Here is a 20,566-nt window from a genome sequence, read left to right as displayed (position 1 = left end):
TGTAATCCCAGTATTTTGGGAGGCTGAGATGGGAGGATTGCTTAAGGCCAGGAGTTCCAGACCAGCCTGGGCAACATAGGGAGATCCCATCTCTACAGAAAATTTAAAAATTAGTTGGGCGTGGTGGCAAGCATCTGTAGTCTTAACACCTAGGGAGGCTGAGGTGGGAGGATCACTTGAGCCCAGGAGTTCGAGGCTGTAGTGAGCTATGATCGCACCACTGCAACTCCAGCCTGTATTACAGAGCAAGACCTTGTCTCTAAAAAAAAAAAAACCAAAAAACCAACCATAACAACAATAACAAAAACCCTCAAAGCTGTAGAGCATGAATAGGTAGTAACAATCCCTGAAATTAGAGGCCTTCCTAAACTCTTGCTATGATGTGCCATGATTATACATATTATCTCTAAATTCACAAAGGACCAGTTGGATTTGGCAACCAATGTGCCTAACACGTGAATGTGGAGGAGCTATGGTACAATTTAGAACAAATATCAATGATTTAGAAATCACGTATTTACCAGAGTTAAAGTAATTTGTATACTAACAAAAACCTACCCACGAGGTTGTACCAATGTCAGAGAACAAACATTTTATCCCTGTTTCAAAGTGCTTTAAGACATTATTTTAATCCTTACAATACCTCTTTGAGGTATGTAGGTGGCAAGTCATACCAAAATAAAAATTCAAAATACAAAATAAATGGAACACTACTTAGGGAATAAAAGAGGTTCTAGTTGATCATGCGTTGTTGATTTTCTGCTTTTCTTGGAAGATCTGTTTGTGATTTCACTTTATCATATTTTGCATAGAGGACCAACATCATGGCAAACTTGATGAGGGGTTGTTATGATCTGTAAAGAGCCTCTGTGTTCCCATTGCCTTCTCCTCACCCCAGTCATGGCTGGAGATGACCGAGGGACTCTGGGTGTGCTGTCATGTCCAGAGGACAGCAGGGAGGGAGAGGGGGAAGCATTCTTTTCCTTCTCCACCCTACTTCCCCAGACCTCTGCCAGGCTCCTAATTTGACTGTGTGTACAATGAAAAGGGAAAATCAAATAATGAGTCAAATATATAGATACTAAAGAAGAGAGAGAATGTATTGAGATGCTTAACTGATTTTGTTTTACTGGGTTATCATACAATGGTTGGCATTAATCTTCAGCATCTACTGATGCCAACATCAGTGGATGCACAGGCCAATGGCCAATGGACCATTAAAACTGGCACATATCCTGGAGATGGAAAAACACCAAGGAGTGATTTTCATTTTGTGATTTAGTGGCAATTTAAACTGTTCCCACCTGAAAGGAAAGTAGCTGTAGATAAGCTCTTCTAACTAGGGCTAGCCTCTTGTCTGTGATTGATGGGGGCTTTCCATGCTTCTCTGTGATGTGACGCTGAAGGAAAGAGAATACAACCTCAAATCTTAGCTGAAGGAAGTTTTATTTATGCTTTTCATGAAAGCTGGGGACACTGACACCTGATTCCACCCCATTTCTTTTGAGACAAATTCTCACTCTCTTGCCCAGGCTGGAGTGCAGTGGTGCGATCCTGGCTCACTGCCTCTCAGGTTCAAGCAATTCTCCTGTCTCAGCCTCCCGAGTAGTTGGGATTAGGCGCGTGGCTAATTTTTGTACTTTTAGTAGAGACTGGGTTTCACCAATTGGCCAGGCTGGTCTTGAACCCCTGACCTCTAGTGATCCTCCTGCCCCGGCCTCCCAAAGGGCTGGGATTAGAGGCATGAGCCACCTCACCCAGCCTCCAGCCAAGTTTTTCTTTTTTGAGACAAGGTCTTGGTATGTCGAACTTATGGACTCAAGCCATCCTCCTGCCTCAGCCTCCTGAGTAGCTGGGACTACAGGCGCACACTACCATGTCTGATGCAGTAACTTTTTCTAAAGGTGCTTTAAAAATATTTCTGATATTTTATGCCCACTTGGTGGGAGAGAGGGACATGCTGCAATTCAACTTTGAAGCCAACTTCAAAATAGAGAGGAACACAAGGGCTTTGTTTGTTTTGGTTTAGTTTATCGCCTCATGAAAGTAAACCTTATGGCTCTGCTGAATTCCCCAGTAGGTCCAGGCAGTAGGGGTGGGTTACATATTACCGGAATAAGGCCCACCATCTGAACTGTAAAACACATGTTCATTTGTTCTAATCTAACACCAAGCTTCTGAAACTCAGCTGAGGACAGGCTTTTTGATAAATATCCAATGCTAGTCCCTTTTCTTGATGGGGATAGAGCTCAATATGGCTGTTGAAATTGGTTTGATGTGCCTTTATTCAGGATAAGGAGAGATTTGGAGAGAGTTCCACTTAAACCAACCATTCTGGAAGAGCTGGCTGCTCTTATTGTATATGGTTTTAGGCTGGCTGTTTAAATAAGCAAGTGCTAATGGCTTGAAATCCCCTACATGGTTTGTCTTATACACATGCAAACATCAGCATTATTATTGTTATTTATGTTCTGTCCCTGGGCTTCTACCATTAACATAAACTGAATTGGCTTTAGGCAGAGATGATTGCTGACATAGATTACCCCCCAAAAAGTCCAAATGTCAATTTTCTGGGAAAAAAATTGAAACCTTAAATTAACCTCTCATTAATTTCTTGTCCTCTAGAAAAACCCAACATTTTATAGAGGCAGAAAGTGTCATGTTAAACAGGAGATGAGCTCTGAATTTGGATAACAGTAGGTTCAAGTCCGATTGTAATTAGATAAACTTCTAAGATAAGACCTCAGGTAAGATTCTTAGCTCTTTGTACCTTAGTTTCAATTTCTGTAAAATGTGAGTCATAATAACTCTTGTATTATTGGGTGGCTTGGAGGACTGATTCAGATAATAGCTGTAAAGTGCTTGGTCCATAGTTATCGTTGAAAAAAAAAAGCAGTTTTTATTAACACTGGAGCATAAAGAAAACTTTCATGTGTATATTCTCATTCTGGGTAAAAAATGATTTACAGTTTATAACTGAAAACATCTTGAAAGTAGACTTATATGTATATTTATTGACTTACAGCTCATCTTGTGTCAGATGATCTGTAAATCTGAAAAATGAGGAAGAGAGCTTCCGGAGCCTAGTCTTGGATTATAGAAAGAATTTTTCCAGGTTGGAATGCTCTAGAGCTCAGGCATGCAACATAGCCATCAAATGTTCTGTTTTCAGTTTGTTGTTGAAACACAAAATTATTTAAAGTACACATGGCATCACACGAGACAAATTAATCTTTCCTCCAGCACTATATCAGTAATTAGCTAATTAGGAATTCCATTTTTAAATGTTAAACCTTAGAATATAGAATATTTCAGTGTGTTTTAAAGGCTGTATTCACCACAAAGTAGAAACCTGATATCCCAGGGAAATCACTATTCATCTGTGTTGACTCTCTGCCAGAATAGACTTTGCATATGGGTGGGCCCTGTGAGTCAGCCAAACCTGAAATTTGATAAACTCTTGCCTCCTGTTTTTACACCCTGGCTGACAGTCAGTGACTGTATTATCATATGGAAAACACATGTACTCTAACTACACAGTTATTACCTCTTGTTATTGATTTTTATCAACAAATGACAAACAACTTGGTTAGTTACTATAAAATGCTAACAGTTTCTTCCTTCATTCCTATCCTGGATTCTCTTAGTCAGTAGTTTGTTTACAATCACACTTGACTCCCTTTCTCTGCTATCATGGTATGGAAATAGGGCGATTAGATTGGAAAAACTGATTATTGTAAAACAGCAATTAATTTCTTACTGCTTTACTTGAACATTCATGCTTATTAGTTTTCCAAGTAAATAAGTTAAATGCCTTGTTAAACTTCCTTTCTGCCAGAAATGTTGTACCATCTGTGTTCAACATGGCAGCATTTTCTTATTTAATGCATATGTCCCCCCTTTTTTGGAAGTGTGTTAAGAGCTTTAATATGACAAGAAACAGAAATAAAATAGTGAAAACACATTGTGTTTCAAACATGAATGTAAGATTCAGATTTGTGACATTCAGAGAATTTGGAATTTCATGTACCATCATTAATTTTATGGCAATTATATGAGTTCTCAATGTTAGAAAGAATTTTAATTCTAATGTGAATCCCCTTTTGGCTTGGGAAAGCTATTTTATTTTATTGTCGTCCAAGCTGGAGTGCAGTGGCATGATCTCAGCTCACTGCAACCTCTGTCTCCTGGGTTCAAGTGATCCTCCCACCTCAGCCTCTCTAGTAACTGGGACTACAGGCTTGCGCCACCGTGCCTGGCTAATTTTTGTATTTTGAGTAGAACAGGGTTTCAGGGTTTCACCACGTTGGCCAGGCTGGTCTGGAACTCCTGACTTCAAGTGATCTGCCTGCCTCAGCCTCCCAAAGTGCTGAGATTACAGGTGTGGGCCACTATGCCCGGCCCAAAGATTTTATTTTAAATGGCTGTGTGAAATGCCACCTTATAGATATGCCATTATTTATTTAACCATTCTCTATAGTTGGTCATTTAGGTTATCTACAAATATGTGTTAGTATTCCTGCAGAGACCCACAAGTAGTCTCTCACTAATACCTAAAGTGAAGGAATAGTTTATTGAAGTTGACAAACACTGGCCCTTCACAACAGAATTGACAAAAGAAGTGGTTCACTGCTTCCCTTCTGTTACAGGTTAGTAGACAGATAACCAGAGGTAGTCTCCGTCTTTTGTCCATTTGTAATAAGATCATCCCAACCATGAGGCTTAGTGGTCGGAACTCATACTCCCAGTGCCTGTGGATGGTGCATTTTTAAATCTTTTCCACTTCATATCATTATTTTCCTCCAAAATGGTGACTATATTTCAATTTTTCCAGCCTTAGCATTTCTTTTACCTATCAAAAACATTTTTGTGTAATTCCTCCAAATAAATATTGTCACTATGCATTGCTGATTAGAAAAGAACAGCGTTCTTAACTCTGATAGCAAATATCGTATCAGGGAAAATAAACCATTTTGGAGCTCAAGGAATTTAGCATCAAAACAATGGACTCTAAGATGCACAGCACCTGACATATATGTAGGAGGTGCTCTGTAGATATTTGTGGAATTAGTGACAAAACCCCAAGGAAATTATCCCTTAAGAGAAACGAATGGTTACTTCTAATCTTACTACAGCTACCAGTTAATATGCCAGCCTTCAGGACATTGGTTTAAAGACCTGAGGCTATATATATTTTTTTCAGATTATTACTTTCTATGGGCTAAGTGAAGAAAGGCTGTTTCAGGTTGACAGCAGTACCTCCTAATAATTCAGACAAAGTTTTGGAAACGGACAGTTGTTGGGGAAAGGGAATGTGAAATACGAAGTGAAGTGCCCTGACTGAAAAATCAGCATCCAAGTTTTTCACTTACTCATTAAATGGAACTTAAATTATCTATTTTGACAAGTAAAAATTTAAATTTAAACCCGAGATCTATCATGTGTTGGTGAGGGGTAAATGTAGAAATTTCTGCCTGGGCATTGATCAAAGGGAACCATCCCTCAGTCTTCCTGTTAAGGATGAGGCAATAGTTACCCTGAAAACCAGGCACAGAAAAGAACATCACATAGTTTTGTGAGATGGACTTTGTAAGGATAAATTTCCTTTTTCATTTTAATTGTCCTTACTTGACATGAGACATTTTTCTTCCCTATTTCTTCCCAGTTCAGACACATGCAGCAACTAAGTGATAATCAGTAGAAAATACCTTCAAAGCAAGCTGCAACCACAAAACACAAGGAAGGAGAAAAGAACTTTTTCCCTTAAGCAGAACCAGGGATGACCTAAATACTATGTCACCCTTCAGAGATGGCAACATTTACATTTTTGACTAAAAAAAAAACAAAAAAAAAAAACAGAAAAACTTCTTTTGTAATCTCTTCTTTCATTATCTTATTACCACTATCATTGTTTTATGTCTGTTTTCTTGATCTTTTATTTTATTTTATTTTTTTTTAATTTTTAAATTTTTTTGAGATACAGTCTCATTCTGTCGCCTAGGCTGGAGCAGTGGTGTGATCTCGACTCACTGAAACCTCCACCTCCGGGGTACAAGGGATTCTTCTGCCTCAGCCTCCTGAGTAGCTGGGATTACAGGCACCTGCTACCACGCCCAGCTAATTTTTGTATTTTTAGTAGAGATGGGGTTTCACCATGTTGGCCAGGCTGGTCTGGAACTCCTGACCCCAGGTGATCCACCTGCCTCGGCCTCCCAAGCTGTTGGAGTTACAGGCATGAGCCACTGTGCCCGGCCTATTTGTTCTTTTAATTCAAACCTTTATTTGGTTCAGTGGAGTTCACCTAACTATGATTACTAAGATCTGCGGGTTGACTGGAAGGAAATACACTACGAAGTTATAATGGTTATTGCTATAGTGGGATTACAGGATATTTATAATTTTCCATCTGTGTTTTGAGAAGGTTACTAATGGGAAAGCAAAAAATTAGAGCTACAGCCCTGGCATCACCACTTTTATTATGTGCGCTGGGGCAAATCAGCATCTCTGCACCTCTCTTTTTCTAAGTTAAAGGGGGTCACCAAGGTGATCTCCGAGTTTACTTTCAAGTTTAACGTTCTGTGGGTCTAATGGAAAAGACAGTTTAGCTTGATATAACCCTTGTGGAGCACAATTTGGCTGTGCCTTTCAAAACTACGAATGGGTATACCTGCTGACCCAGTGACTCCCATTTCTGGAAATTGCTCCTATATATATACTTGTACAGATATGAAATTAAAGTTATGCAAGGTTATTTCTTTTTTTTTTTTCTTTTGAGACGGAGTCTCGCTCTGTTGCTCAGGCTGGAGTGCAGTGGGGCGATCTTGGCTCCGCTTCCCGGGTTCACGCCATTCTCCTGCCTCAGCCTCCTGAGTAGCTGGGACTACAGGCGACCGCCACCACGCCCGGCTAATTTTTTGTATTTTTAGTAGAGACGGGTTTCACCGTGTTAGCCAGGATGGTCTCTATCTCCTGACCTCATGATCCGCCCGCCTCGGCCTCCCTGCAAGGTTATTTCTTACAGAATAGTCTATGATAGCTAAAGACTGGAAACAAGTGAAATATTCACCAACATCCTGGGGTTCAGTAAATTGATATTTAGATACAACAGTGTGGTGGTTAGCTGTAAAAACCCTTCAATATATATTTTTAATTTTTTGGACCTATGTGTCAGGGACATTGGTGTTATAGGTTCTCTGTGCCTGCCTCGTCAATTTTTTTAAAGAAAGACCAAATAAAAGTAAACTATGACATTTGAAGAAACAATTGGGCAGGAGAGCCTCAAAGATTTCAAGGATTTGGGGAAAGTCTGTAGGAAGACTCCTTTAACCAAATAAATATTCTCTGACGCCCTGAAAAACCGGAATAGAAATGAAGGCAAGGCCAAATTTGAAGCTGGCTTCCTTTGCCAAGAATGATCCAGTAGGGCACCGCCTATTTTTAGGGTGCGGCTGTCTGGATCGGGGGCTGCTTCTGCAGAGTGTAATTGGAAAGGTGGGGGGAAGCAACAGCTGTACTTTGGGGGCCTGCCTTTGAGCTCATCATCTGAGTTACTGAGGTCCCCTAGCGGCTGTCAGAGGAGGCCCAGACTGTCCAAATTTGATAGTAAACGTGAAGAGACCACAAGACCAGGGTGGGAACCAGTCCCCGCCCGTCCCCAATCCATCCGGCTCACGCTCCCCACCCCACCCATGCCTAGTATCAGCAAGAAGCTGTTGTGATAAATAGATTATGAAGAAACAGGAGCCCGGACTAGAGAGACGATAGTGAGAATATAAAAGAAGAAAGATAATCTCTCTCAATCTTTTTAACTTTTGTAAGAGGCCTAATTTTTCCTTTTTTCCCCTCTTTTCTCTTTTATTTTTTCAACAACCTCTTGTCCAACTGACTAATTTTCTCTAGATGCCACTTTTTCCATTGCAGAATTACTTGTAAGAAAGAAAGGGATTAAAAAACAAGAGTTGGAAGCTGTCCTTTTGGACAAGATATTTAAAACCCTACTGTCCATCTTCCATCCTAAGTGGTCCCATCTTTCTAAAAGGAAATGCCTTCCATATTCTTCCTAAAAAAGCAAAAGCATAACAAAACAAAACTGGAAAACTGTTTCTTCTGCTTGAGACACAAGGGCCATTATCTTCCCACCTTTGGCCCCACTGATCCTTGACAGGATGTCCTGGACCTGCAGCCCAGATGAGGAAAGGTGGGGTGTGGGTGGGGGGTTGACTGACACACACAGCAAGTAGCCTCAAGGAATTTGGGGGTGGGGCAGGCTGCGCCCCAAGGCTTTGGTCCTATCTCCCGCCCCCCTTGCGTTTTTACTTAACACCCGATCACTTCCGTTGCAAATAAAAAAGAAGTAACAAACAGCTAAATTTAATTAGGGATAAGTAATAAAATGACCTGGTTCTCTCTAACTGCGCTCCTGAGCCCTTCGCTGCCGGCCCTGGACTTAGTGGACGGAGCGGGAGATTCCCGCCCAGGGGAAGAGGTTCCCACGGAGGGCATGCGGTCGCGGGTGCCTTTGGATTCGTGTGTTCAGGGAGGCCAGATAATCTCCTCCCCGCGCCGGAGCCCCTGTTCCTCATTTCTAGCATTTTAAAAAAGGTCAAGAATACAGTGAATCCGGCTGGGGGCTGCCGGCTGGGTGACGCGCCTCTGGCTAGACCGAATGGCACAGGCTGAGCCCGGGGGTGCGGACCGGTGGGCACGGAGAAGGGTCCCTCGGCGCGGACTCGACTGCAGGAGCCGCGGCGCCGGGGGTGGGGGGCGTGTGCCGCTCGCGAGGGGGCCGGAGGACTTGACAGATCGCAGCGAAAGAAAACATTAAACCAAAACAAAACCCACCGATTCCCCACGTCGTTCAGCAAAGACATCGTGGGTGGAGCCAGGAGGGAGCGATTGAGTAGAATTCCTCGCGGCCGCCTCCGCCCGCCCACCCCGCGCCCCCGGCCCTCGGCCCCCTGCCCTGCCAGCCCGCCGGGCTCGGCCCGCAGCGGAGGTCAGGGAGCAGCGAGCGCCTCCTCCCACCCGGGCTTCCCGAGTACTCGGCTCTGCTGCTCCGTAGTAAACAAAGTGTCGCCGGCGCCTCCACGCTGGTTTGCTTCCTAGCAATCAAAACACTGAGAAGGCGAGAGAATCACAGAAACACTCGAGAATTACCAGAAAATAATAGAGATCCAAAAAAAAAAAAAGGAGGTGAGTGTGTGAAAGAGAAAAACACCCCACTACCCCCCACCAGCCCACCGCCGCCTCCCCGTGGAAAACCGGGCCCCACCCAGCCCGGCGCCCACTGGCTGCCCGGGCGGCGGTGCCGCATGCCCATTGGCCGCGCGGGCTGTCGGTCAGGGGCGGGCCGGCGCGCGCGCCGCCGCGGGCGGGGGGCGGCGGCAGATCCCGTAAGTCGGGCGGCCTGGTAGTCGCAGCAGCCGCTGCCGCAGCCGCCACATTCAACAGGCAGCAGCGCAGCGGGCGCGCCGCTGGGGAGAGCAAGCGGCCCGCGGCGTCCGTCCGTCCTTCCGTCCGCGGCCCTGTCAGCTGGAGCGCGGCGCAGGCTCTGCCCCGGCCCGGCGGCTCTGGCCGGCCGTCCAGTCCGTGCGGCGGACCCCGAGGAGCCTCGATGTGGATGGCCCCGCGAAGTTAAGTTCTGGGCTCGCGCTTCCACTCCGCCGCGCCTTCCTCCCAGTTTCCGTCCGCTCGCCGCACCGGCTTCGTTCCCCCAAATCTCGGACCGTCCCTTCGCGCCCCCTCCCCGTCCGCCCCCAGTGCTGCGTTCTCCCCCTCTTGGCTCTCCTGCGGCTGGGGGAGGGGCGGGGGTCACCATGGCCGAGGCGCCTCAGGTGGTGGAGATCGACCCGGACTTCGAGCCGCTGCCCCGGCCGCGCTCGTGCACCTGGCCGCTGCCCAGGCCGGAGTTTAGCCAGTCCAACTCGGCCACCTCCAGCCCGGCGCCGTCGGGCAGCGCGGCTGCCAACCCCGACGCCGCGGCGGGCCTGCCCTCGGCCTCGGCTGCCGCTGTCAGCGCCGACTTCATGAGCAACCTGAGCTTGCTGGAGGAGAGCGAGGACTTCCCGCAGGCGCCCGGCTCCGTGGCGGCGGCGGTGGCGGCGGCGGCCGCCGCGGCCGCCACCGGGGGGCTGTGCGGGGACTTCCAGGGCCCGGAGGCGGGCTGCCTGCACCCAGCGCCACCGCAGCCCCCGCCGCCCGGGCCGCTGTCGCAGCACCCGCCGGTGCCCCCCGCCGCCGCTGGGCCGCTCGCGGGGCAGCCGCGCAAGAGCAGCTCGTCCCGCCGCAACGCGTGGGGCAACCTGTCCTACGCCGACCTCATCACCAAGGCCATCGAGAGCTCGGCGGAGAAGCGGCTCACGCTGTCGCAGATCTACGAGTGGATGGTCAAGAGCGTGCCCTACTTCAAGGATAAGGGTGACAGCAACAGCTCGGCGGGCTGGAAGGTGAGTGGACTCGGCGCGCGGCCGGACCTTGGGGGCGCGGTGGGTCAGGCGAGGGCGCAGCTGTGCAGGTTTGCTCGGCCTGAAGGTGCGGAGCAGGAGGGCAGCGCGTTCCCAGGAGGGCGGGCGAGAAGCGGTGGTCGCGGTGGCCTCGCCCGGGTCCGGTCGGGGACGGCAGTAGGTGTGCGTGCGCGCCAGTCAGGAGTTCGCGTGGGACGCGGTAAGGGGCTCGTTGGGGAACTAAGTAAAGAAAGTGCGCCAAGAAGTGGACGTCAGAGCGAGGCCGAAAAGTTTGCCAGTGAAAGGAGAAAGGGGTTCGCTGGGAGCGGCAACCCCCGGCCCGCGCCGACTGCTTCGGCTGCCCCTTCCCTCCCGGACCTCCGCGGGGGGAGGGCGGGTTCTCTCCGGCCGCGCCGCGGAGCTGTTTCCGCCGGGCGCGGCGGGGGAGGGCGCGGCGAGGGGCCCCGGAGCCTCGCTGCCCCGGGACCGGGCTGCAGGTGGAGGGGACAGGCAGGGCGCGACCGGCCGGGGACGGTGCAGGGCCTGCCGGGCAGTTTCTGGAGGCGGTGCGCATTTTGCTTTGTTTTGGTTTTCTCCGGAGTGGCCTCGAGTGCCGGGGGCCCGGCGTCCCGAGCCCGAGGTGGTGCCTCCGACACGTGCGAAGGGGCGGCCACCGCCTGCGGAGCGCCGGCGCCTGGCCGCGCGGGGCGAGCTAAAGTTCAAGTGTGACCCTCGGCGGGGGCGGGCGCGGGCGGTGGCGGTGGCGGTGGCGGTGGCGTGGGAGGGGCCCCGGGCGCAGGAAGCCCGCGCCTTTAAAGGGCCAGCGCGTCGGGGCCGGGCGCCGTGGGGCCAGCGTTTCTCCATGCGGGGAAGCGCCCGAACTTGGTCTTGCCCCTGGTAGGAGGCTTTTAGTTAGAAACACAGAGGCTGCCCTGAGGGGCCGGGGGCTGGGATGTGTGAGTCTTTTCCTGCCTTGCCACCCTATTCTTGAGCATGGAGGACCAGGCGGGGGGGCTTTGCGACCAATGTTTTGAGGGAGTCGGAGTGGCGGTGCGCGTCGAGGGAGCGGTGCCTTGAAGGAGGATTTTTGCCATTTTTGCCTTTCAGAGCGTGGCCAGGAGAGACTTAGCGTGGGGGCAGGCACTTCCCGACTCCGAGGAGAAGGCCCGGGGGCCCTCGGCTCCGGGGAGGCTTCCCGGGGGCGGGGTCCAGTCGTGGCGCGGCCTCCCCAAGCTGACAGTTTCTCACTGTCACCGGTGGCGGAATTGCTGTAAAGGCTGTCTAGTTGAGCTAAACACCTCCCTCCCCTCCTCCGAGACGGAGTCTCGCTCTGTCGCCAGGCTGGAGTACCGTGGCGCGATCTCGGCTCACTGCAACCTCCGACTCTCTGGTTCAAGCGATTCTCCTGTCTCAGCCTCCCGAGTAGCTGGGATTACAGGCACGAGCCACCACGTCGAGCTAATTTTTGTGTTTTTAGTAGAGACCGGGTTTCACCATGTTGGCCAGGATGTTCTGGATCTCCTGACCTCGTGATCGGCCCGCCTCGGCCTCCCAAAGTGCTGGGATTACAGGCGTGAGCCACCGTTCCCGGCCGAGCTAAACACCTTTTTAAAACATACCTTTCTTCGCCTCTCATATTGGACTCCACGGCATAATAAAGATTGGTCTTTGCTGCGCAGTTGTTAACACCAAGGTTATTTTACACACAGTGTCATCCCTGTGGTTAATGCGTGTCAAAAGGGTTAAGTTACTCACACCTTATTGAAGTTCCTTTAGAAGGAATTCAAGATTCATTTTATTTTTTCCAAAGTGTGTTTTAGAGTAAAGGTATCACTTATCGCTTCATTACCAGGCATTACATGCAATTTTACCAAGTGTTTCAAAAAAGTAAAGTGCCTTCTTACCGTTAAGTTCAGCATATATTCTATTAAGTCACAAAATCGAAATTGTCTGCCAAATCTTGTTTTACTTAACATTTGAATTTAAGTACTTGACTTACTTGCTCATCTATCAATTCCACTTCAGCTGTTACAGAGTATTAGCCATTTAAAAAAAAAATCCTCCCCCCTTTTTTTGCATTCAAAGTACAGTGTGTACTTACACCATTCTTTAGTCCTTGGAAATGGATACAACCTACTTCAACTTGCTGGAGTGCCTTTCTTTAAAGATAAAGGAAGTGTTTTGGGATATTTTTAGTTTTGCGTCTCAAATGGCATTGTCAGAGTGTTAGTCTTAAACTAGGAATATGCTTACACTTTTTAAGATTTAGGTTTTTAAAAAATAGATTCTGATGTTAAATCATCTTTACAACCATTTTTATCAGGTTCTTGTTCTGATTTTTTTAAAAATGCAAGAATAATTTAGTTTTTTTTTAAATTTATTTGCCAGAGCTAGGAGACCTGTTAAGTTATCTGTCTGGAATTGGAGGCCCTTGGGCAGCTCCCAGTGGGAGCCTAATGGGGCTTTGCTTTGGAGTAGGCTGCCTTTCTCAAATGAGTAAGTGTTTCAGGTGTAATGTCAGTTGGTTTAAGTCTGATTGCAGCAAGTACATTTTCAGTTTGAGTAAAAGGGTATTTTAAGAAGAAAAGAAACAACCTGAGCTGTTCTAACTCATAACTAGTCTTTTGGTTAGTTTCATAAAAATGAGTTACTTGTTAAAACCAAGTTTCACTCTCAGATCTGAAAGACTCCTGTTCTAAGAGTCATAAAAGAGAAATTTTACTATGAATTTTAACTTAAATCCAGTTTTTAAATGCAAAGCAACCAAAACTTAACTGTTTTAGGACCGAGGAGAGGTTGCTTTGGCACAAAATATTTCCTGTGATTTACTACTGGGAATTAGGCTGAATCTTTAATTAAATAGTTTCTTGTGTGCTGCTTCCTGGGGCCTGCCTGAAAGTTTGAGTCATTTGCATAGGACAAACTAGTTGGAAAACTGTTAATGAATTCAAAAACTTTTAATGTCATTCTTTAGATAGTTAAGTGCTGGTTATATTTGAAGGATATGCATTTTGTGTTTGTGGGGATGGTATGTTAAATGTCTTACACTTGTTGTAATATTGGCTAGAATTGCTATAAGGTCACACACAAAGTGGAACCTAAGACTTTTGGAAAACCCGGGATCTTCTAAATCTAGTGCAGTATTTATAAATAATGAAACTTCATTTCCATGACCTGTTTTTTCACATAGAAAGCCTTCTAAAGCTTGGGAAGTGGTAGTTTGAACTCTGATTTTTTTTAATAAATGGCAGTTTTGAGTTGACTCTTTTGATATTATTAGGAACACTTTAGGTTAAAAGAATGACTTTGACTATACCACTTAACTCTTGTTAAATAAATTTTTAGATTGTTTTATTAGAGGTATCCTCTTTGATTTAAAGATAAATATCTTTTTTTTTTTTTTTTTTTTTTTTTTGAGTCAGAGTCTCACTCTGTTGCCCAGGCTGGAGTGCAGTGGCGCAATCTCGGCTTGCTGCAACCTCCGCCTCCCAGGTTCAAGCAATTCTTCTGCCTCAGCCTCCCGAGTAGCTGGGACTACTGGCACGTGCCACCATGCTTGGCTAATTTTTGTATTTTTAGTAGAGAGGGGGTTTCACATATTGGCTTGGCTGGCCTCGAACTCCTGACCTCGTGATCTGCCTGCCTTGATCTCCTAAAGTGCAGAGATTACATGCGTAAGCCACCGTGCCTGGCCCCAAAGCTTTTTATTTTTAAGATAAATCTTTAATTGGGAGTGATGTTTCTTATTTGGCCTATGAACTGACAGTGGATTTCCTTATGTTTTGAAATAAATATTCTGTAATTTGGGTATAATCTATAGGTGAGTAATTGAACCAGCCACAGAGATCCCGTTAGAAAGATGGCTGCTTTTTTGTTGCATGGTCACATTTGACTTAGAGAATCCTGGTGAGACCGAGTGGTTAGAGGATCTGAGACATCTTTCCTACTTCTGGATTGTCACTGAAATTACCTTAAAGAAAGCCTTGATAGGCTGGGCGTGGTGGCGCACACCTGTAATCCCAGCACTTTGGGAGGCTAAGGTGGGCGGATTGCCTGAGCTCAGGAGTTCAAGACCACCCTGGGCAACATGGTGAAACCTCATCTCTACTAAAATACAAAAAATTAGCCGGGTGTGGTGGCAGGTGCCTGTAGTCCCAGCTATCGTGCCAATAATCCCAACTACTCGGGAGGCTGAGGCAGGAGAATCGCTTGAACCTAGAAGGCGGAGGTTGCAGTGAGCCGAGATCACGTCACTGACCTCCAACCTGGGCAACAGAGGGAGACCCTGTCTCCAAAAAAAAAAAGAAGAAAGCCTTGATAATCCTGTATATGTACTTGGGGAAGCGATAATGAAGAAATAATTTAAAATGGATGAGGGGGTTATGCAGCTAAATGTAGCATCTTATTAAGGGCTGAAAGTTACCTGAATCTATTTGAGAGCTAAAACATTTTGTTCAGAAATTCCAAAATAGATGCCAAATTGGAATACTTCATTTCAGACTCCCAAGAGCTTTACTTTTTACGCATGGTTTTGTGGCATGTCCTTGGTTGAGGGGATGGCGAGAAGAGTGGCCTCTTTTTGAATGATTCTCATTTTTGTTGTTGTTGTTGTTGTTGTTGTTGTTGTTGTTGTTGTTTTTCTGAGCCAGGGTCTCACTCTGTTGCCCAGGCTGGAGTGTAGTGGCTTGATCTCAGCTCACTGCAACCTCTGCCTGCCCCTGGCTCAAGTGATCCTCCCACCTCAGCCTCCCGAATAGTTGGGATTATCGGCACGAGCCACTGCTCATGGACTAGTTTTTTTTAAGTGACAAACACTTGACTATTGAAAATAAGGCATTTTAATTCTCATGTAAACTTGAAAAAAGTTAAAGGTCTTCAAGATCCCAAAATTGCTGAAAAGGTATCACATTAGCAGCAGACACATAGATTTCATGCTCCGCACACACAAGGAATCTTCTCCGAGGCGATACGAAATGGGATGAGGGGGAAGAATATTCAGTGGCAAGTTAGAATGCCTTGCAGACTGTAAACATGTTGCCTGTCCTTGTGCTTCTAGCCCCTTCATCCAAGCATCTAAACTGCAGTTTTGTGTTAGGCTTTCTAAGATAGCAGCTGTATTTGGCTGGAATTTCTCTGGGGAAGCCTGAATGATTTGCATTTTTCTGGAACACTCTGCCCTTGGAAACTACCCAGTTCCCTGGCATCATGGGAATTTACCCAGCCATTTTTTTGGCCTATATGTGCTGTAGCTTTGGGGCTTTTTGGGGATCCTCTTGGAAAGGCAGTGTAAATACCACATAGTGATTGGGGAAGGCAGAATTTTCAATTGTGTGGGAGTTGGTCTGCTTCCCTGCAGTTCAAGATTTGCCTTTGCCTTTGTAGCAACAACTTGCAGAGACTTGCCCAGCCCCCCCAGGATCTCCCTGGGGTCATATAACCAAGCACCTTTTCTTGGTACATAAAGAATTCTGATGCTTCTGGTGGTGTTCCTCAGCTGTGAAACAGAAGACCACATGTACTTGAAAAAGTATGTATTTTGATGCCTAAGGGATATGCTGTGTACAAATACTTAGAGTGTGGAAGACATCTTCCTCTTTGCCAGTTGCTGATGAGGATGAACAAAAATCAAGTCAGTGGCACAGAAATTCTTTTGTAGGTATTACTACTTGTTATTTGTAGTCTTCTAAGGAACATAGGAAACATGAAAAACACATTTTTGTACGTTGGCTATTTTATATGGTTCAGCCTTTTTAAAAACTTGCTTTATTCATTAGCATCCCAGTTTACTCTATTCCGTCTTCTCCCTGTGGTTTATCAACTTGTAGGTTAAGCACCGCCAATAGTTGAATCTAGGGTTGACTTATTCTTGCTACTTGGCAGGCATTTGGGCTACTTTTTTTTTCTTTCATCCATTTTTGTATAGTTTTGATAAAAACTAAAAAGGAAAACAAAAAAGCAAGTTAGTTTTGATATTAAGTCAAATACTACTAAAAAGGTAAATCTGCAGCTCCTCATCATACAATTTAGTGAATTTTTACCTTCACTTATTACTTTAATAAGGACATAAGTTCAAAATGTGTCCTTTATTTCAAGCCATATTCATTACAGGAAAAAAAAAAAATCAAGGGAGAGCTGTTTAGGGAATTAGCCTGTGTAGCCCCCAATTCTGGTTTTTGTTCTGATGATCCCTGAAGCTACACTCTTTATGAGAGTTGGGCGTGTGTGTGTCTAAGTCTTCCTTTTCTTTTCTTTTCTTTTTTTTTTTTTTTTTGAGACGGAGTCTTGCTCTGTCACCCAGGCTGGAGTGCAGTGGCGTGATCTCAGCCCCCTGCAACCTCTGCCTCCCAGGTTCAGGTGATTCTCCTGCCTCAGCCTCCCGAGTAGCTGGGATTACAGGCACATGCCACCACACCTGGATAATTTTTGTATTTTTAGTAGAGACAGGGTTTCACCATGTTGGTCAGGCTGGTCTCGAACTCCTAACCTCGTGATCTGCCCACCTAAAGTGCTGGGATTACAGGCGTGAGCCACTGGGCCCAGCCTAAGTCTTCCTTTTCTTTTCTTTTTCTTTTTTGAGATGGAGTCTTGCTCAGTCATCCAGGCTGGAGTGCAGTGGTGCAATCTTGGCTCACTGCAAGCTCCGCCTCCCGGGTTCACGCTATTCTCCTGCCTCAGCCTCCTGAGTAGCTGAGACTACAGGCGCCCACCACCACGCCCGGCTAATTTTTTTTTGTATTTTTAGTAGAGACGGGATTTCACCGTGTTAGCCAGGATGGTCTCCATCTCCTGACCTTGTGATCCACCCGCCTCGGCCTCCCAAAGTGCTAGGATTACAGGCGTAAGCCACTGCGCCCGGCCACGTCTTCCTTTTCTTAGCTTTGCTTTGAGAAATCGTTTCTTATCTTGGATTCCATTACAATGGTCCTCCTGCCATCTGGCTTCTCCAGTTGGTTCGCTTATTTTTCCTTCTCCTATCCTCATTCATAAGTATACCTCAGGACTAGTTGTGGACTTTTTCTCTGGTATTTTCTTAGGTAACTTACTCTCTGTTGCCTTGTGTATCCAGTTACCTAAAGGCTCTGGAGGTCCCACTTTTATCTCAAATCCAGCATGTCTAAAACTGAACATACTGTATTTCCCCCTGCCCTCAGATGGCTCATTTCAAGGTCCCCAGTTGGGTTAATGGTCTAGTTAGTTCTTTCCCTAGTTTTCAAACCTTGGTGTCTTCTTGAGCACTCTCCTGGTGTTTAGTGTTCCCAAGTCTGTTAACTCTTCTTTCTCAGGGTCTGTTGAGACTTTCCGTTCCTACCCGCTAACCATTCCCCTCGTTTAGCTTTTAGTATTTCAGGCCTAGACGCTCCTGTCCCCAGAGCTTAGATCATCTTGAGCCCTGAAATTCAGCAGATCTTGCTCAGTGTGCAAGGTTCAAGTCAGTTCACCAACTTCCAATCTTGGCTCCTACCCAGAGGAATTTTTGTCCTCTGAGTGAATATCTGGTAATCTTTTAATTCATGCTGCTGTGTATTATATATAATTTAACTTTAATGTCTGTATGTCTTGGCTTCTCAGTTACATTGTAAATATGTTGTTAGGAAAAAAATTCTTTCTTGATACATGGGTCTTTTATATTTCAGCTTCCTGTGTGTTGAGAATATCACAGTCTGTATCATGTGAGAATAATTTAAGAAGTAGTATAACTAAAGAACAGTGATTATTTTGTTTTCAACAGATTGTCAGAGTCCTTTTTTTTCCATTTATTTGTTGAATAATTACTGTGTACAAGATGTGCTAGGTGTTTTTGAGTGGTAGCAATGACTCAAAACATAGATCCAGTAGGAAGACTAGATGCAATGTGTAAGTAACTATGATATACAGTGGGAAGAGTTAAGTGTCTTAGAGAAAAATGAAGTTCTGTATTGGCCGTTGAACCAGGCTTTGAAAATGGGAGATTGGGCCTGGCACAGTGGGTCATGCCTGTAATCCCAGCACTTTGGGAGGCCAAGGTGGGCAGATCATTTGAGGTCAGGAGTTAGAAACCAGCTTGGCCAACATGGCAACACCCTGTCACTGCTAAAAATAGAAGAGATTAAGTGAGTGTGGTGGCATGCATCTGTAGTCCCAGCTACTTGTGAGGCTGAGGCAGGAGAATTGCTTGAACTTGGGGCAGGGGGTTGGAGGGGTGGAGGTTGCGGTTAGCCGAGATCACGCCACTGTAGTCCAGCCTGGGCGACACAGCAAGACTCCCATCTCAAAAAAAAAAAAAAAAGAAAAAAAAGGATGGGAGATTGTTCCCTTACGATTTCGCTATGAAAATTTTCAAGCATTCAGCAAAATTGGAAGAATTTCTACTACCTTTTCTACTAATGACATTTCATTATGCTTGCTTGATCATATATCTGTGTAAATGCACATCTTTCTGTCCATTAGTTCATCTTATTTTCAAGATATATTTTTGGGATGGTGGACTGGCATTCATAAAGGCCTGAAAATATGGGAAGCATCAGTTTCTCTGAGTGCGAAGTCAGGAGATTGAGACCATCCTGGCTAACACGGTGAAATCCCGTCTCTACTAAAAAGACAGAAAAAAATTAGCCAAGTGTGGTGGCGGGTGCCTGTAGTCACAGCTACTCGGGAGGCTGAGGCGGGAGAATGGTGTGAATCCAGGAGGCGGAGCTTACAGTGAGCCTGGATCGTGCCACTGCACTCCAGCCTGGGCGACAGAGAGAGACTCGGTCTCAAAAAAAAAAAAAAATTTCTCAGAGTGATAGGCATGTGAAATACACAAACAGTTTGAAAAGTATAGGTAGAAAGGACATATTATGAAAATAATGCTGTGTTATGGACCAAATTTATCAAATGATATCTTTGTTTTTGCCAAATAAGAAATTATGAAAATATGATTACATTAAACAATTTTAAAATGCAACTACTTAGGAACACACTTGTGTAAATATGGAGACCTATGGAATGCAATTTATAGCCAGTGTACTGCAGTTGATTTTGAAACTGACATACGGAATTTGGCAATACATAGAACAGATTATGTAATTGACTTAATGTGAATAGTTGGCATTTACAATGTATTTAGCTTTTTGCTTGATCTGTTCTTTAAAATTAACTTCAGTGAGGCCCAGTGTCCTGGTAGCAGAGTGATTCAAAGAAAGAAAGATTACTATTAAATTAAGTCTTGCTTTTTTGAAAAATGAGAAATTCTGAATTGAAGTCAGCAATTTCAAAATATACTTAAGGCAATTATGAGGGAAGGTTATATTGGCTTGAAAAGATACTTCAAAATGTAAATGTCAGTTCTAATATTGCCTTAGCTAAATATTAGATATCCTTGATGGCTTTCTTATTGCAATAATTATCTTCCCACTAACCCAAATGCAAGAATGAAGATTATAATGGGATATTTCAATAGATCCAGAGGAGGTTAAATTTGGATAGGCCAAATGCAAAACTGACACCATTACAGTCCAATAGGACTGAATGTATTAACTGTTAAGTGTACTTGGAGTGAGTCTGACTAGCTCATGTTGAACCAAAAGGTTTATGCAGTAAAAATGGCATTGTGGCACATCAGAAGGCACAGTTGTAGATTAAATAACACTCATCAGCCATTTAGAAATGGCAAGTGTTGAGGAGAGCTGTCCGGGCGCGGTGGCTCACACCTGTAATCCCAGCACTTTGGGAGGTTGAGGTGGGTAGATCACTGGAAGCCAGGAGTTGGCCTGGCCAATATAGTGAAATCCCATCTCTACTAAAAATACAAAAAATTAGCCAGTGGTGATGGTGCATGCCTGTGGTCCCTGCTACTTGGGAGACTGAGGCACGAAAATGCCTCAGACCTGTGAGGTGGAGGCTGTAGTGAGCTGAGATTATGCCACGACACTCCGGCCTGAGCCTGGGCGACAGCAAGACTCTGCCAAAAAAAAAAAAAAAAAAAAAGAAGTGTAGAAAACTATTTTACTAATATATTTATCCCTATAGAAGCAGACATTTTATTTAAAAGGTACATTGCTGATGAGGGGTGGGGGACAGTTAAATAAATGAAAAAGCCCACTACCGTGAGGTTTTATTAAATGTCTAAGTTACCTTCCACGTGGAGAAAATAGCTTTCAGAC

At 45.4% G+C, this 20,566-nt stretch overlaps 1 protein-coding gene across 1 annotated transcript in view, besides 6 other annotated features; it reads left to right on the top strand.

The window, feature by feature from the left end:
- Positions 8,499-8,548: an enhancer, noted in NCBI's record as "active region_7613". NCBI's record gives its function as "activates an Ori minimal core promoter by ATAC-STARR-seq in GM12878 lymphoblastoid cells {active_cell/tissue: GM12878}" and the evidence as "EXISTENCE:reporter gene assay evidence [ECO:0000049][PMID:35858748]".
- Positions 9,199-9,728: a silencer, noted in NCBI's record as "silent region_5284". NCBI's record gives its function as "represses an Ori minimal core promoter by ATAC-STARR-seq in GM12878 lymphoblastoid cells {active_cell/tissue: GM12878}" and the evidence as "EXISTENCE:reporter gene assay evidence [ECO:0000049][PMID:35858748]".
- FOXO1 (forkhead box O1) overlaps positions 9,387-20,566 on the top strand; it is a 110,975-nt gene continuing 99,795 nt past the window's right edge. The window contains exon 1 of the mRNA NM_002015.4: positions 9,387-10,445. Within this exon, the coding sequence (NP_002006.2) occupies positions 9,816-10,445 (630 nt within the window). The 5' untranslated portion in view covers positions 9,387-9,815. The remainder of the gene's footprint in view (positions 10,446-20,566) is intronic.
- Positions 9,959-10,098: a silencer, noted in NCBI's record as "silent region_5283". NCBI's record gives its function as "represses an Ori minimal core promoter by ATAC-STARR-seq in GM12878 lymphoblastoid cells {active_cell/tissue: GM12878}" and the evidence as "EXISTENCE:reporter gene assay evidence [ECO:0000049][PMID:35858748]".
- Positions 10,189-10,238: a silencer, noted in NCBI's record as "silent region_5282". NCBI's record gives its function as "represses an Ori minimal core promoter by ATAC-STARR-seq in GM12878 lymphoblastoid cells {active_cell/tissue: GM12878}" and the evidence as "EXISTENCE:reporter gene assay evidence [ECO:0000049][PMID:35858748]".
- Positions 10,759-11,268: a silencer, noted in NCBI's record as "silent region_5281". NCBI's record gives its function as "represses an Ori minimal core promoter by ATAC-STARR-seq in GM12878 lymphoblastoid cells {active_cell/tissue: GM12878}" and the evidence as "EXISTENCE:reporter gene assay evidence [ECO:0000049][PMID:35858748]".
- Positions 11,569-11,648: a silencer, noted in NCBI's record as "silent region_5280". NCBI's record gives its function as "represses an Ori minimal core promoter by ATAC-STARR-seq in GM12878 lymphoblastoid cells {active_cell/tissue: GM12878}" and the evidence as "EXISTENCE:reporter gene assay evidence [ECO:0000049][PMID:35858748]".

Source organism: Homo sapiens, chromosome 13 (genome assembly GCF_000001405.40).
Source record: "Homo sapiens chromosome 13, GRCh38.p14 Primary Assembly".
NCBI lineage: Eukaryota > Metazoa > Chordata > Mammalia > Primates > Hominidae > Homo > Homo sapiens.
This window is presented reverse-complemented; position numbering and strand designations above follow the sequence as displayed.